We start from the raw sequence: 15890 nt of genomic DNA on the forward strand, positions 1-15890 counted from the left end.
ATGCATTTATTCATATTGAGGTTTTAAAAAGCATTCCCCCTAGGAAATAACTCAGCTTTGTTCCTAACTCTAGCTCATAATAAAACATTTTAAAATTCAAAACTCAATGTAACTATTTCTTTTCAGCTACTCTAAACCCTGCATGCTAAGTGTCCAGATGAATGGAGAAAATTTCCCCTTTCAGAAGGGCTGAGTCGCTAGCAGGCTTGTAAACCACATGAAGGTTTTCATTTTTGAGTCTACTTTATAATGTGACTATGTGATATATGAACACAAATGAGTGACAGGATAATTAGGAAAAACAACTGTTTTACCAAAAGTTTTACCCTAGGGTTGACGACTCCCATATTTTACCCTCCAGTCTCACTCACATAGGCAGGCTACAAACTCCACTTGCAGAGAAAGAAATGGAGGTTCGAAGAGTATGGGGCATCTCCAGAACGGTCAGATAATTGACTGAGCCAGTTCTAAAAACCAGGTCTCCTATGCCAGCTCAGTCCTCTTTCCGCCGCAGCGTGATGCCTCTCTACTACACCACACGAGGGCCTCCACTCAACACGTCCAAAACGCAGCTACCTACACAACAAGTTCACCCTCCCAATTTCATTTCTTTTCAGGAAAACCTTAAACTCAACTCACTTTTTGTTCATTTCAATCCTTTCCTCTCTTGTTTCTTGCCAGACACCATATCTACAGATTCTAGTTAATAATGACAACTACTGCCATCCTTTATCAGGTGCTGTTAGTTCCTAAATTTTCTTCCTATGTGATAATGTTTAGGTTCATCCCTTCAGCTTCATTATTCTGGACACACATTAGAAGGTCCTCTCATAGCCGGGCACGGTGGCTCACGCCTGTAATCCCAGTACTTTGGGAGGCCGAGGCAGGTGGACCTGAGGTTGGGAGTTCAAGACCACCCTGACCAACATGGAGAAACCCCATCTCTAATACAAAATTAGGCGGGCGTGGTGGCACATGCCTGTCATTCCAGCTACTTGGGAGGCTGAGGCAGGAGAATCGCTTGAACCCGGGGAGTGGAGGTTGAGCTGAGCTGAGATCGCACCATTGCACTCCAGCCTAGGCAACAGGAGCGAAACTCAATCTCAAAAAAAAAAAAAAAAGGTCTTTTCATAACTGCTCTTCCTGTTTGTACTCTCTGTCCCCTCTGACCACCATTTCATTAAGTTCTCTTTTATAATTTATTCCCATTCATTACCCAGAAAGCCCTAAACAATATGCAAATCTAATGATTTTCCTTCTAAACTTTTTTTTTTTGAGATGGAGTTTCACTCTTGTTGCCCAGGCTGGAGCGCAATGGCACGATCTCGGCTCACCGCAGCCTCCGCCTCCTGGGTTCAAGCGATTCTCCTGCCTCAGCCTCTCAAGTAGCTGGGATTACAGGCATGTGTCACCATACCCGGCTAATTTTTTTGTATTTTTAGTAGAGACGGGGTTTCACTGTGTTAGCCAGGATGGTCTCGATCTCCTGACCTCGTGATCCACCCACCTCGGCCTCCCAAAGTTCTGGGATTACAGGCATGAGCCAGCGCATCCAGCCTTTTCCTCCTAAACTTAAAACTTTTCTGTTTGGCTTCCTATCAAAGCAGTTCTCAAAGTATGGTCCCTGGATGAGCAGGGTTAGAATGACCTGGAAACTTGTTAGAAGTGCAAATGCTTGGAGCCTGCCTCATACCTACTGAATGAGAAACTCTGGGTTAAAGCCCAGAATCTGTTTTCGCAACTCCACCAGGTGCTTCTGATGCGAGTTTGAGGACCACTGACCTAGAGGGTAAATTCAAGCTGCTTAACCAGGCTCATAGGACCCTAGATCCAAAACTAAACTCCCTAAATTCAAATCCCAGCTCGACCACAGTTTAACTGTGAGACCTTATATGACCCTTAGGCAAATTACTTCTCCATCCTAAAACTCAGTTTTCTTGTCTGTTTCCATCTCATAGGATTCTTGAGAGTATTACATGAAATAATCCATGTAAATCACCTAGCACAATGCCCAGCATAGAATAGTGTTCATAAATGTTAAATTTTCTTAATTAGAGAACTATTTTCTGTTCCTTGATTAAGTTGTGCTCTTTCATACCTCCATTCCTTAACATACATTGTTGCTTTGGCCTAGAATGCCCTTCTCCACCTAATTTCCCTGGCAAATACCAACATATTTATGAAAATTCAAGTCAGGTGTCACTCCGCTGTGAGCCTCCCCAGTTTTGCCCTCATCTTCACACAGAACAACAATGAACTGTGTTACCATATTGTCTGTAATCTCTCTCTTTTTTTTTTTTTTTTTGAGACAGAGTTTGGCTCTGTCGCCCAGGCTGGAGTGCAGTGGCACAATCTTGGCTCACTGCAACCTCCGCCTCCCGGGTTCAAGCAATTCTCTGCCTCAGCCTCTGAAGTAGCTGGGATCACCGGCACCCACCACAACACCCAGCTGATTTTTGTATTTTTAGTAGAGACGAGGTTTCACCATCTTGGCCAGGCTGGTCTTGAACTCCTGACCTTGTGATCCACCCACCTCAGCCTCCCAAAGTGCTAAGATTACAGGGGTGAGCCACTGCGCCCAGCCCGTCTGCAACCTCTTTTAAGGCAGCTCCATCCCTTTTGATCTCTCCAAATGCAGGGACCAATTATCCTTGCACTACACAGAGCTTTTCACCCTGCCTGGAATATAATAGGAACACAATAAATATTTCCCAAGTGAACTACTTGGCACAAAGAAATTTGACTTGTAGTACTTCCTCTGTTATTCACTAGCTTTGTCACTGCAAACCCAAGCCTCTTCACTTGTAAAGGAGAGTTAGCAGGCTAAGTGGCTTTTAGCCATATTTTTTAACATTAAAACTTTGTTTCCAAATAAAATCTTAAAATGAATACTTTTCTCTCTTAGGGTTCCCTGTTTTTTCAGTATTTCTTGTCTCAGGAATAAGAGCATAAATTCTTAGAGAGCAGGGGAAAAAAGCAATGTGCTATAGAGAATAAGGGTTTGGATTCTGTGGCCGGGCGCAGTGGCTCACACCTGTAATCCTAGCACTTTGGGAGGCAGAGGCGGGTGGATTACCTGAGGTCAGGAGATCGATGCCGACCTGGCCAACATGGCAAAATCCCGTCTTTACTAAAAATACAAAAATTAGCTGGGCATGGTGGTGGGCGCCTGTAATCCCGGCTACTTGGAAGGCTGAGGCAGGAGAATCACTTGAACCCAGGAGGCAGAGGTTGCAGTGAGCCAAGATCATGCCACTGCACTCCAGCCTGGGCAACAAGAACAAAATTCCATCCCCAAAAAAAGAAAAGTTTGGATTCTGGAGTCCCACTGACTTGAGTCTGCCTGTTTCAAGCATGAGACCTTGCTTAACTTCTCTAAAACATGAGTTTCTTTTAAAAAATAATTGTTCTTTTCACACAGGGTTGATATGAAGACCAAATGATGTAATAATGCATGTTAAGCAAGTACCTCAGTGCTAAAACACACAAAATAAACAAATATTCCCCATTACTCTATATATAAGAGAGCAAGGTCTGTGTCATCTGCTATCGTGCTCTCAGCATCTTCTAAAGTGCTGGGCATAGAGTGCTTAGTAGTGACATGGGTTCTAAGAAAATCCCTTTATTTATGGAGAGATTATATGTAAGTAAAGTTAAAAATGTTTCAATCCACCTTTTTCACATTCTTTTTAACCTTATGAGAAAATGAGCAGCTCTTATGTGGCAAAGGGTAGGGTGATTCTGGAAACAGCTTTGAAGGACACATTTCAACCACAATAATAAAGCCCCTCTACTTGGATTGGAAAGCCCCAAAAAGTTGAGATTTAACTCAATGAATGTGTTTCGATTCAAATCTAAAAGGAAGTTTACACTTGCCGCTGCAAAGGTGTCATCACGTGCTTACCAGCACAATGGAACTCTCTCAGGGAGGAAGCAAAACTGCCATTTCTGTGATTCCCCTTGCAATCATACAACAGTGAAGGGCATTCAACAAACTAGGAAGAGAGGACAACTTCCTCTGCCTGATAAAAGGCTTCTACAAAAAGTCCAGAGCTAACATCATCATATTTAATGGTGAAAGACTGAATGCTTTCCCCTAAGATCAGGAGCAAGACAAAAATGTCTGTTTTTACCACTTCTAGTCAACTTTGTACTTCCAGCCTGAGGAATTAGGCAAATAAGTAAATAAATGAATGCCATCCAAATTGGGAAGGAAGAAATAAAGCTATCTCCATTCACAGATCTTGTATATAGAAAATCCTAATGAATCTACCAAAAATAAAAAGTGAAACTAATGAGTTCATGAATGTTGCTTGATATAAGACAAAAATACAAAAATCAGTTGTATTTTTATACACTAACAATAGACAATCTAAAAGTTAAGAAGAAAATTGCATTTATGGCCGGGCACGGTGGCTCATGCCTGTAATCCCAGCAATTTGGGAGGCGGAGGTGGGCGGATCACAAGGTCAGGAGATCGGGAGCATCCTGGCTAACACGGTGAAACCCCGTCTCTACTAAAAATACAAAAAAAAAAAAAAAATAGCCGGGTGTGGTCGTGGGCACCTGTAGTCCCAGCTACTCAGGAGGCTGAGGCAGGAGAATGGCGTGAACCTGGGAGGCGGAGCTTGCAGTGAGCCGAGATCGTGCCAATGCACTCCAGCCTGGATAACAGAGCAAGACTCCATCTCAAAAAAAAAAAAAAGAAAAGAAAAGAAAAGAAAATTGCATTTATAATAGTCAAAGGTCTAAAATACTTAGAAATAAATTTGACAAAATAAGTGAGATTTGCACACTAACCATTAGAGAGAATCACTGAGATATATTAAAGAAGACCTAAATTTGGGAAGATCTGCTTTTTCATGATCGGAAGACATTATTGTCAATATGGCAAGAAAGTGAAACGATGACCTACGGGTTGGAAGAAAATATTTACAAATCATATAACTGATAATGTTCAAATATCTAGAACATTTAAAGAACACTTACAACTCAGCAATAAAAAGACATATAATCCAATTTTTAAAAAATGATCAATGGATTAGAATAGACATTTCTCCAAAGAAGATACACAAATGAACAATAAGCAAATGAAAGTTTGTTCAACATCATTAGGAAAATGCAAGTCAAAACTGTGAGATACCACTTTACCCCCACTAGGATGCTAAAATTTAAAAGATAGTTAATACAAACTGTTAGGAAGGATGTGGAAACATGAACTGTAAAATGATGCAGTCACTTTGGAAAGCAGTTTGGCAGTTTCTTAAAATGTTAAATATAGAGTTACACATATAACTCAAAAGTTCCACTCTTATGTATATACCCAAGAGGAAGTAAACATACATCCACACAAAACTTGAACACAAATGTTCACAGCAGCATTACCAACTGATGAATGGATAAACGAAATGGGGTATATCCATACGGTGAAATATTACTCAGCAATAAAAAGGAATGAAGCCCTTATATGTGCTTCAGCATCACAAACCTTGAAAACATTACGCTGGGTGAAAGAAGCTAGCCACAAAAGCCACATGTTTTATGATTCCGTTTATATAAAACATCTAGAAGAGGCAAACCCACAGGGGATAAAAGGTCAATTAGCAGTTGTCAGATGATGGGGTATTGACCGATATCGGGTATGAGTTTTTGTTTTGGAGTGATGAAATGTCCTAAAATTGCATAATGGTGATGTTTGCACGTCTCTGTAAATATATTTAAAACCACTGAAATGTACAGTTTAAAAGAGTGAATTGTATAATATATAAATTATATCCCAAAAAAGCTATTTTAAAAAAGAACCGAGATTATACCTGCAGAGAAGCAAATTCCAAAGCATCTGGATGCACAGAAAAGGAACATTAACCCTGATTTTCAGTTCTCAGGTTCATGCATTCAACGTTGTCCCCAGAGTCAACCCGGTTATCCTCTGAACCTGATGATTAACAGGAGGACTGATGCATTTGAGTCATGGTGTGGACTGCTCTTAACGAGCCCCTGTGTGTGTGATGAAACCCTCTGCATCCCCCAGAATTAGAAGAACTGGGAGTTTGTCAGAGCAACTTGGCCCTCTGCCATATCTCTTTCATCAGGTTTTCTGTTTCATTTTACTTTTAAATAAAACAGCCTAGAAGAGACCCTAGTTCTTGCGTACACATCTCAAGTATCCTGAAACTTAATGGCAACAAACTGTAAACAGAGTTTGTGGGGCAGTTGTGAGAATTTAAGAACAATAATACCTTTCATTTGGAGAATACTTCTTTAAAAAAAAAAAAGCCCTATGAACTAGAGTTAATGTCAGATAGATCAAGGCTCACTCACTCTTCCAACTTTGCAATCAATAAAACAGAAAGGCTGTCCATAGATATGTCACAGAGCTAAAGGACCTCTGACAGGGAGATCAGGACAGCTCATATGGCAGATGGGCATGTATTATAATGGTTAAATTATAGATAGGGGATTTTTAAGTTGATAAAGAGGGGAAGGGCATTGCAAGCAGAGGAAATTCCAGGAGCAAAGTCTCAAAAATTTCAGAAAGGGAGTAGAGAAAGGAAAAAGCAAACATGTATACATAGTACCACATTTGACATGGAACAGACATTCTTTTAAGTGGTAGCTAGTATTCGGTAATTGTTTGCACTTTGCCAGGCAACCTACTGGGGACATTTACATAGTGCATAATTTAATATTTATAAAATCTTCACAGTATTATCATTGTGAATAGATATGAAAACAACTTCAAATATATCAAACAACTTGCCCAAGTTCAAGTGCCTATTAAGTGGGGGAATCATCTTTTCTCTTGATTTCCCAATAAGAATTACAAAACTGGGAAGACCTCAAAGGAATGGGAATTTCAACTGTGTGCTGAAAGAAACCTGAGTCTACTAAAGGCAGAGGATCTAGTAAATGTTTGATGAGTCTTGATACTTGATAATGTTTCCTAATTCAGAAGATAATAGGAGCCACAGATTAACCTTTGTTGTAAGCTGACCTTCTTGTGACCCCCAAAAAGAATAGGTTGCAAATGAAAAAGTGACCAGAACCTTGGGCATCCTGGACATGTCATTTCAAAATCCTAAGATCTCAGAGAGAATGCTGGTCATTATCAGACAATTGCCTAAATTTTGGAAACCAGAGTTTTCCAAATTCAAATAATAGTGGTTCAATACAGATTTAGTAAGCATCCACTGCAGTATTAGCTAATGCTTATTGAAAGCTTACGCTGTGTCAAGTACCGCTTGATATCAAGGATAGTGAGATGAAAGGTGTGTTTTAATTGGGAGATGGTAAAGTATCTTAGTCCATTCATGCTTCTATAAAAAAATACCATAAACTGGGTGGCTTATATATAACATAAATGTATTTTTCATAGTTCTGGAGGCTGGGAGGTTTACGATCAAGGCACCAGCAGATTCTGTGTCTGGTAAGGACCCCACTTCCTCATAGAAAGCTGTCTTCTCACTGTAACCTCACATTATGGAAGGGTAAGGGTCTCTGTGGGGTCTTTTATATAAGAACATTGACCCATTCATGAAGCCTCTACCCTCATGATTTAATCACCTCCCAAAGTCCCCACCTCCTTATATCATCACCTTGGGAGTTAGGATTTCAACGTATGAATTTGGGAAGGACATAAACATTCACATCATAGCAGGAAGTCAGCAGTTTGTTAAGATGCCATATCCTGAGAATTGGCTCCCTCAATCTATTCATCCCACATCCAGGCTGCCTTAGTGTCCTGCAGATTTTTTGCAGAAATCGTTATAGAAACAGTTTATAGACTCTGCCAACTATGCTCCTGAGATTGTCATTATGCACATGAGATTTGGACAGCAGAATTGAGATCCCTCTTCCTGTCCCTTTCAGCTGGTTATCTGTGCAAACAAGATCAGAAATGATAGGTTTTCTGCAATATTATTTCAGTATCTATTCTCCAGCTTCCTAAGCATCAAGAGACACCTGTGGAGGTGACACAGATGGTAGCCTCCTGATTCCTGAATCACAGATGTAAGATATGTTCTTGAACTCAATATTCCAGTGATAGGTAGCTGCCACATACAATGTACCATGGACTGTATCAAAATTCAAAAATATATCAACAGGTTGAAATCAAGAGTTTAAAAAATAAGATCTGAGCGAGACAGCCAGATCTATCTATCTGGGACAACATTCTTGAAGCAGAATACAAAATTTAGGTATACAACTTTGCACTAGGAGAGACCAGCACTAACAGCAATTCTTGTAAAAGAAACCCAGGCATTTGGGTTACCTGCAAGCTCTATAGAAGCCCATGTTTGGCTACCACCCTAAATGACTTCATTTTATCCTAGGCTTCTTTAATAATGATTCCTGCCCACATCCAGGAGGGGAATGTTTCAGCTGAGCCTAGCCAGACTCCGTCTAGATTGTGTTCACCTCTGGATAGCTCGTTTTAAGAGGTCACTACAAAACTGGACAGCATTAAGAGAGGCATGACCAGGATGAGGAGAGGTCCTTATCACCCAACCAATTCATTAATTCACTCATTCATTTGTTTATTTACTCAGCAAACTTCTATTGAGCACCTAGTATACGTCAAGCATTGAGGATGCAGCCTCTGCCCCAGCAATCCCACATTTTAGTAGGAGAAGAAAATAACGTCAAGTAGCTGATAAACGATAAAGAAAAAAGAGCACAAGAGCAAGAAAACAGAGGAGTAACGAGTGGAGCTATTTTCAGTTAGGCAGCAACAAAGATCTCTCCAAAGGGATGACATATGAACAGAGACCCGGATGACATGAGGGGGAAGCCAGGTGTCTTGGAAAAAATAGCAGGTGCAAAGGCCCTGAAGTAGGAGCAGCCCAATGTGCTCAGTGAGGCCAGTGTGGCTGGAGCAGAGTGAGAGACGAGGCAGCAGTAAGAGACAATGTCAAAGAAGTAATTGGGAGCTAGTTTATGCAGGACCCTACAGGCCATAATGGAGGCTTCATGTTTCATGTTGGATGTAATGAAAAGCCACTGGAGGGATTTAATCAGACAATGACATGGTCCAATTTATGTTTCAAAAGTCTCACTCTTACTGCTGTTCAGGAAATGGATATTTAATGAGCACGCTTGTGACTGTGCAGCCTGAACGTGTGGCGTAGATGAGGGGAGAAGGTGGGTGTGCATTGCCCTTCCTCAAACGTTTGAAAGTTAATGCAAAATGCACAGGCTTTATTATGCATCTCTCTATATATTTTTTATCTCTATATATAATATGTAATATAATAGATTACATATTATTATATATCTATAGAAAATATTATATATTAAATATATTATATATGTATAATATTTTATTATATGTTATATTATCTAGAGAGACATATTATATATTATATTATATATTATGTGTTATATATCTATATAACATGTACAGAGATATATAATATTATATACAGAGATATAATATATAAGTATCTATATATAATATTAGGTATTCTATATATATTACATGTATTATATATCTAGATATATAACTATTATGTATAGATATAAAAGATATAGCTATATATCTATATCTATATTATATTATAATACTAATACCAATATTATATAGATGTATCTATATATAATACTTAATATATAATTATATATAGAGATATATCTCTGTATAATATTTAATATATAATTATATTATATAGAGAGATATATCTAGATATTAATATCTAGATATATAATATAAAATATTTATAGTATAAATTTATATTGTTATATTTATAAACTTAATATAAATTTATATTATTATATATAATATGTTATATATTTAATATATATAATAAATATTAGAGTGAGAGAGAGGGTCTTGCTATGTTGTCCAGACTTGTCTACAACTCCTGGCCTCAAGCAATGTTCCCGCCTCAGCCCCACAAAGTGCTGGAATAACAGGCATGAGCCACCATACCCAGGCTCCCATGCATGCTTTTTCTAGGCAAAACTAGAAGTTACAGAGAAGCATATTTTGTCTCATGAAAGAGATAATGAAATAGTTATAAAAAATGAACTAACAGTCACTATTCAGCAAAGGCTAGGTGGTGGTAGTCAGGATTTCTTAAAAAGTATCTGAATTCAGAAGCACTTTGGCTATACAACATCTAAGCTTCTTTCCAACTCTAAGCATCTACTATTTCTCTGTCTTCTTTAAACTCTCTCAGAGAGCTGAGTCCTCTCCCTATAATAACCAAAAAAGAGTTACTCAAATTCAATTAAATAATCAGAATTTGGTCTTACTTTTTCCTGGATAAATCAAAAGGAAAGGTAAGGATCTTTATACATACCTTGTTCTTACTATTTCACCTCCTGAAGGAAACAGAGAGAGAAAGAAAATATTGGTATGCACAATTTAATGTATGCCAAATACACAGAACACTTGTCAAGGGTAAGCTAAGAAAAGAAGAAAGAAACACATTTCACAAAATCCTATGATGGACTTAAGCAAGAGATGAAGCAATGGTTTTTTGGATTGATCAAGAAGACAGACATACGATAAGCTGACCAAGTTGACCTGACATTGCCTCTCTGACACGTCTGTGTCTCTCATAATCCTTTGTAAACAGAGAGTCACCGCATATTTGAAATACAATTACCTCAGATTGCCAACAGAGTATTATGCAAGAGAATGCCGGAAGTTCTGGACCTTATGTTGCCCTGCTAAGCTTCCATTGCTCTTATGAGAGATGCTATACAACTTGTTAATTGCTGAAAATCTGGACTCTCTGGCTTGTTTAGAATCATGACTTGGATGCTCACTAGCTCTATGGACTTGACTGAGTTAGGAACCCTCTCTGGACCTTCATTTCTTCATATGTAAATGAGAATGCATATAATCCCTTCCTCATAGGGTTGCTGTGGGAATTAAATACAATAATCCATGTAGCACTAATTGCTAATAATAGTAGCCACCATATTTCGAAGAACTAAAATGTCACAGATGTTGTACAGAGATTATCTTACTGAATTCTCTCAACAGTCTTACAAAATACATACTGGTTTCTCTTTTTGCAGGGGCTCACAAAAGTTTAAGTAACTGGCCCAAATTTACATACCTAGCACGGGACAGATTCAGGTCATTCAAATTCAGGTCCGCCCAGCCAGAGCCCAGTTTCTAGGTATTTCTTGCAACAGCACACTATGCAATGGGACATTTAGTTTTATTACTATTAAAAGAAACTCCTCCAATCTCTCAAGTGAGGGGCAGTTGAGAAGTTTTTCCCTAGTCACTTTAAAAGTTCAGAAGCAGAACTGATTCTCTTACGGACAGTTTCTCATTTTGCTCCCAGCTGCAGGTTGGAGCCACTATACCAATACTGTCTTTGTGTCATCTGACTGGTGCAGCTGGTTTTGCATGCCTTCTAAGTTTGGGGCTGGGTAAATCCTGATCACAGACTTGTAGCCTATGGCCTCATGTAATAAAATATTTTGCAAAAGATGATGTTTTTCTCCTTTTTTCAATCTTCCCTCCCTTTCTGCAGCTATTTCCCTTTCCTCCTAAGAACTGATAAAAATTCAGAAACCCTTATTTTTGCAATTAATCTCATGTGACCTTACTATTGACAATGGCCTGGTTGTTTCTCCCAACTACAACACAATTGATGACATGCCAGTGCTAAGAACAAGGATCACCAACTGACAGAGCTGGGAGCGATCTCTCTGTATTCGTTCCTCTCACGGCACCCACCACATTCTAATCATAATAATGATACTAAGCGCAGTAACAACTACCATGTACCAAGAGCCTACCATTTGCTGAACATTTAACATAAGATTGACCATTCATTTATTTCCTTGTCCACTTATTTAAACAGCAGCATACTTTATTGAGAATCTACTATGGCCTAGGCACTGTTCTAGGCACAAGAGTCCAGTAACTAACACAAGAATCCAAGTCCCTGCTCAGAGAGCTTACATTTTATTGGATGGAATAAAACAGAAAATATATAAATATATTAGTTGGTAATGGCAGAATACAGTTATCTCCTGAATTACACAAATAAGGCAGTTAGAATTATCATATTTTATAGGTGAAGAGTTTGAGTAATTTGTGCAGTCACCACATCAGTGATACAGCAGGAATTTGCTATATTCTGATAATAACAGTAATCAATATCACAGCAATGATTATAATAGTTACCATCTATTAAGGTAGTTATAGAATTGCATGAAGTATTTATATAATATCGTTTTTTATTTTATTTTATTTTTATTATTTTTTGAGATGGAGTCTCATTCCGTTGCCCAGGCTAGAGTGCAATGGCACTATCTTGGCTCAGTGCAACCTCTGCCTCCCAGTTTCAAGCGATTCTCCTGCCTCAGCCTCCCGAGTAGCTGGGATTACAGGCACCCACCATGCCCGGCTAATTTCTGTATTTTTAGTAGAGTCAGGGTTTCACCATGTTGGCCAGTCTGGTCTCGAACTCCTGACCTCAGGTGATCCACCCTCCTCGGCCTCCCAAAGTGCTGGGATCACAGGCATGAGCCACCGCTGCTAGACTATAATCTCGTTTTATGAGTGAAGAAACCAAGACGCAGAAAGATGAAATAATTTGATCAAGGCCACATAGTCTGTGGTAGAGAAATGATTTAAACCCAGTCTGCATCGTTCAAAGTCCATGATTTTTACACCATACCATGCCTCCTCTATTGAGTTTGTTCTATTGGAAATTCTTCTTACTAAACTGAAAGTTTCCCAAGAACAGAGATTTCATCTCCATCATCTCCCGAAAGTTCTACAATATCTGGCTTAGAAAGTGTTGAACTTTGTATGTCGAAGTCTGCCAATTCTAATTTCCAGTTCTTCTCATCGTCCCTTAGCAGTGGGCTGCAGCATGTAATTAGCGATGCGGTCAACATGACTTAGTGCTAAAGGACTTTCAAAGTTCACGATGCAATAGCAACATGCTAGCATCAGCCTAACCTCTCTGAAATACCCGCATTCCCAACCAGGCTTGTGACCTGGACAGACATGTGTGCCTCTTTATTAGACGTGTGTTTGTCTAGGAATGAAAGGAATCAACAAGTGGGATGTACATGCCCTGCATTTCAATGAGAGCTGTCATCCTATGGCGTGAAGGGGTCATTGTGATGAATTGGAAGAGTGTGTGGACTCTTGCTGTCTTGCCCCAACCTCAGGCTAACAATGCTTTTCTCAGCATTCCTCAGCATTGGTGCTCACAGCTGCACAATAGGATTTTGCCTTGTGCATTTACACACACAACGTGGCTCATCCATAGTAAATGATTAGAATGGGTGAATGAATGATTTTTTGTCTTGTTGCTGTTCAAGTTCCTTCACGGCAACACAATACAGTTACATATAGATGCTTGCAGAGGAAGTTTAATGTTTTTGTTAAGATTTAGTGAAAAGTAAACAGTTTTTAAAATAATAACACGTAATATTGATTATGTGTTTACTATGTGCCAGGTATTGTTTTAAATACTTTATATTTCTTTTTTCAAAAATTGTATTTCAGATTCAGGGGGTCCACGTGCTTGTTTGTTATGTGGATATTGCCTGTGTAATGGTAGGGACTGGGGCTTCTGTTTTTGTTGTTCTTTTAGGCAGAGTCTCAGCTCTGTCGCGCAAGCTGGAGTGCAGTGGTGCAATCATAGCTAACTTCAGCCTCAAACTCCTGGGCTCAAGGGATCCTCCTGCCTCGGCCTTCTGAGTAGCTAGGACTACAGACATGTGCCACCATGCCAGCTAATTTTTTAATTTTTTGTAGAGAAGAGGTTTCACTGTATTGCCCAGGCTAAAAGCAGACATTTCCTAGAGTCAGGCACATCTAGGTTCAAACCTCAGCACTGCCACTTTACTAGCTGGCTAATTTTGGAAAATATAACTCCTCCTATTTCTCCACCTCTGCTTTCAGAGGATCCTCAGTTCTCAGACCAGACAGAGACCTTCCCTGACCACCTTATCCCCTCCCATTCATCCTTCTCTCCCCTATGCTTATGCCTTGAGCACTTACCCAACTCCTGACATTCTGCACCCCAGGCCACAGGACTATAAGCCCCACCAGTGTAGACACCAAGTCTATGTCCCTCCCATTAAGTCCCCAAACCCCAGCACTGTCCCTGGCACACAGGGATGTTCAACTAATATTGCTTGAACAATTTAACAAAGGAAGAGAATGCCGAAGAAAAGGGAAGGAAAATATAACTGGAGTGTGGAGGGTTGAGGCAGAGGAGAAAAGGGATCAGGCAACTGCCTGCAGCTTTATTCTCTGTCAGTGGCAGCAGGGTTGCTGGGCCCTTCTACCTCCATCCCTCCCCAACCTAGGCACCCAAGACCAGACTTCTTGGCTGGGCACAGTGGCTCACACCTGTAGTCCCAGCACTTTGGAAGGCCAAGGCAGGCAGATTGCTTGAGGCCAGGAGTTCAAGACCAGCCTGGGCAACATGGCAAAACCCCATCTCTACAAAAAAAACACAAAAGTTAGCCAGATGTGGTAGCGTGCACCTGTAATCCCAGCTACTCAGGAGGCTGAGATATAAGAATTGCTTGTACCTAGGAGAGGGAGGTTGCAGTGAACCGAGGTGGTGCCACTGCACTCCAGCCTGGACTACAGGACAAGACTCTGTCTCAATTAAAAAAAAAAAAAAAAACCAGAGTTCTTAAGAATTTTCTCACTTCCTAGTGGTACTAATCCCTAACCCTAGAAAAATAACACTATTTTCTTACCCCTGTTCCAAGGCACCCAAAACATGCTGGAAAAATTACAAAACCCTGCTGATGTTATCCACACACATTCATGCATTCATGAGGCTTCACTTCAGCAAAGCCTCCAGGCTTCCCTGCCAGGACTTTGACTACATCATATCCATCCATTGACTAGTTCATGGACAATGTCTTGAGCCTTCCATTCCCATCCCTCTCAGGGAACAACTTTATCTCCTAATCTGGTCAGATGATCAAGGCCATTCTAATATGCTTAACACACCACACACAGATTTTATTCCTAGTGATTCCATAAGAAAATATGCTTCAAAGGGTGAAGAATATTGGTGAAAAAACTGATTGCTTTTCTTTCTTTTGCCTAAGGATCAAATTATAGATGGAGGTGTTTCTGAGGAAAATTGCTTGTCTTGTATTAAGAAGGCCATTTTCTGGCAGCCCTGACTACATTTTTAATCAATCTGGAGTCACTGGGAATGGATATTGGGACTATAAATATCAGGGGTAACAATAATAAGAGGTTCAGGGTCCAGCAATCACTGGATAAACATCTTATCTCACCACAGGCCTTTTCAAGGCAACCCTGGCTGGCCAAGGGACTAAGAAATGTGGACAGGCCAAAGTATAAGTATAAATATAAATATTGAGAAGCTGAAAATGTATCTCTCCTAGCTATCGTCTAAAAAGGAGGGGCCACTGTGCTGTAGAAACTTCCTAGTGGAGATGTTCTAACAACCAGCCACAGGAGATGCTTTGGTTAACAACCTTTCCACACTCTTTGTTTTCATTTCCATAGACGTCCTTACTTTGAAAAAACAGTTATTTGAAATTAAAATAACAAATGTCTTGTGGACCACATGTCAAGTGCTCTTGTAATTTCTTTTCAGACATGATCTCATTTAAACCTGGCAACAATCATGCAAATAGGTACTATCATTATCTGTAATTCATAGGGGTAGAAGCTGAGATATAGAGGAATGTATTGGGGGAGCTGGGATGTAAGCAGTGTGGCCCCAGAGCCTGAGCACTTTACCACTACACCATACCATCTGTCTTGTCTTTGAAAAGGACAGTATTTAACAAGAAGTCACAAATCAGTTTCCCCTTTGTTTATCAATTTAGGACAAAGGTAACAAACAACCAGCCCCTCTTGGGTCAGCTTCTGAGCAGAAGCTTTGGAATTCAAACAGATC

At 39.8% G+C, this 15890-nt stretch overlaps 1 protein-coding gene across 5 annotated transcripts in view, besides 1 other annotated feature; it reads right to left on the reverse strand.

Annotated features, from left to right (window-relative positions):
- ENPP2 (ectonucleotide pyrophosphatase/phosphodiesterase 2) overlaps positions 1-15890 on the reverse strand; it is a 116305-nt gene that overhangs the window by 87625 nt on the left and 12790 nt on the right. The window lies entirely within an intron of this gene.
- Positions 10459-10753: an enhancer, noted in NCBI's record as "tiled region #2988; HepG2 Activating DNase matched - State 8:EnhW". NCBI's record gives its function as "activates a minimal TATA promoter and a strong SV40 promoter by Sharpr-MPRA in HepG2 cells {active_cell/tissue: HepG2}" and the evidence as "EXISTENCE:reporter gene assay evidence [ECO:0000049][PMID:27701403]".

Source organism: Homo sapiens, chromosome 8, assembly GCF_000001405.40.
Source record: "Homo sapiens chromosome 8, GRCh38.p14 Primary Assembly".
NCBI lineage: Eukaryota > Metazoa > Chordata > Mammalia > Primates > Hominidae > Homo > Homo sapiens.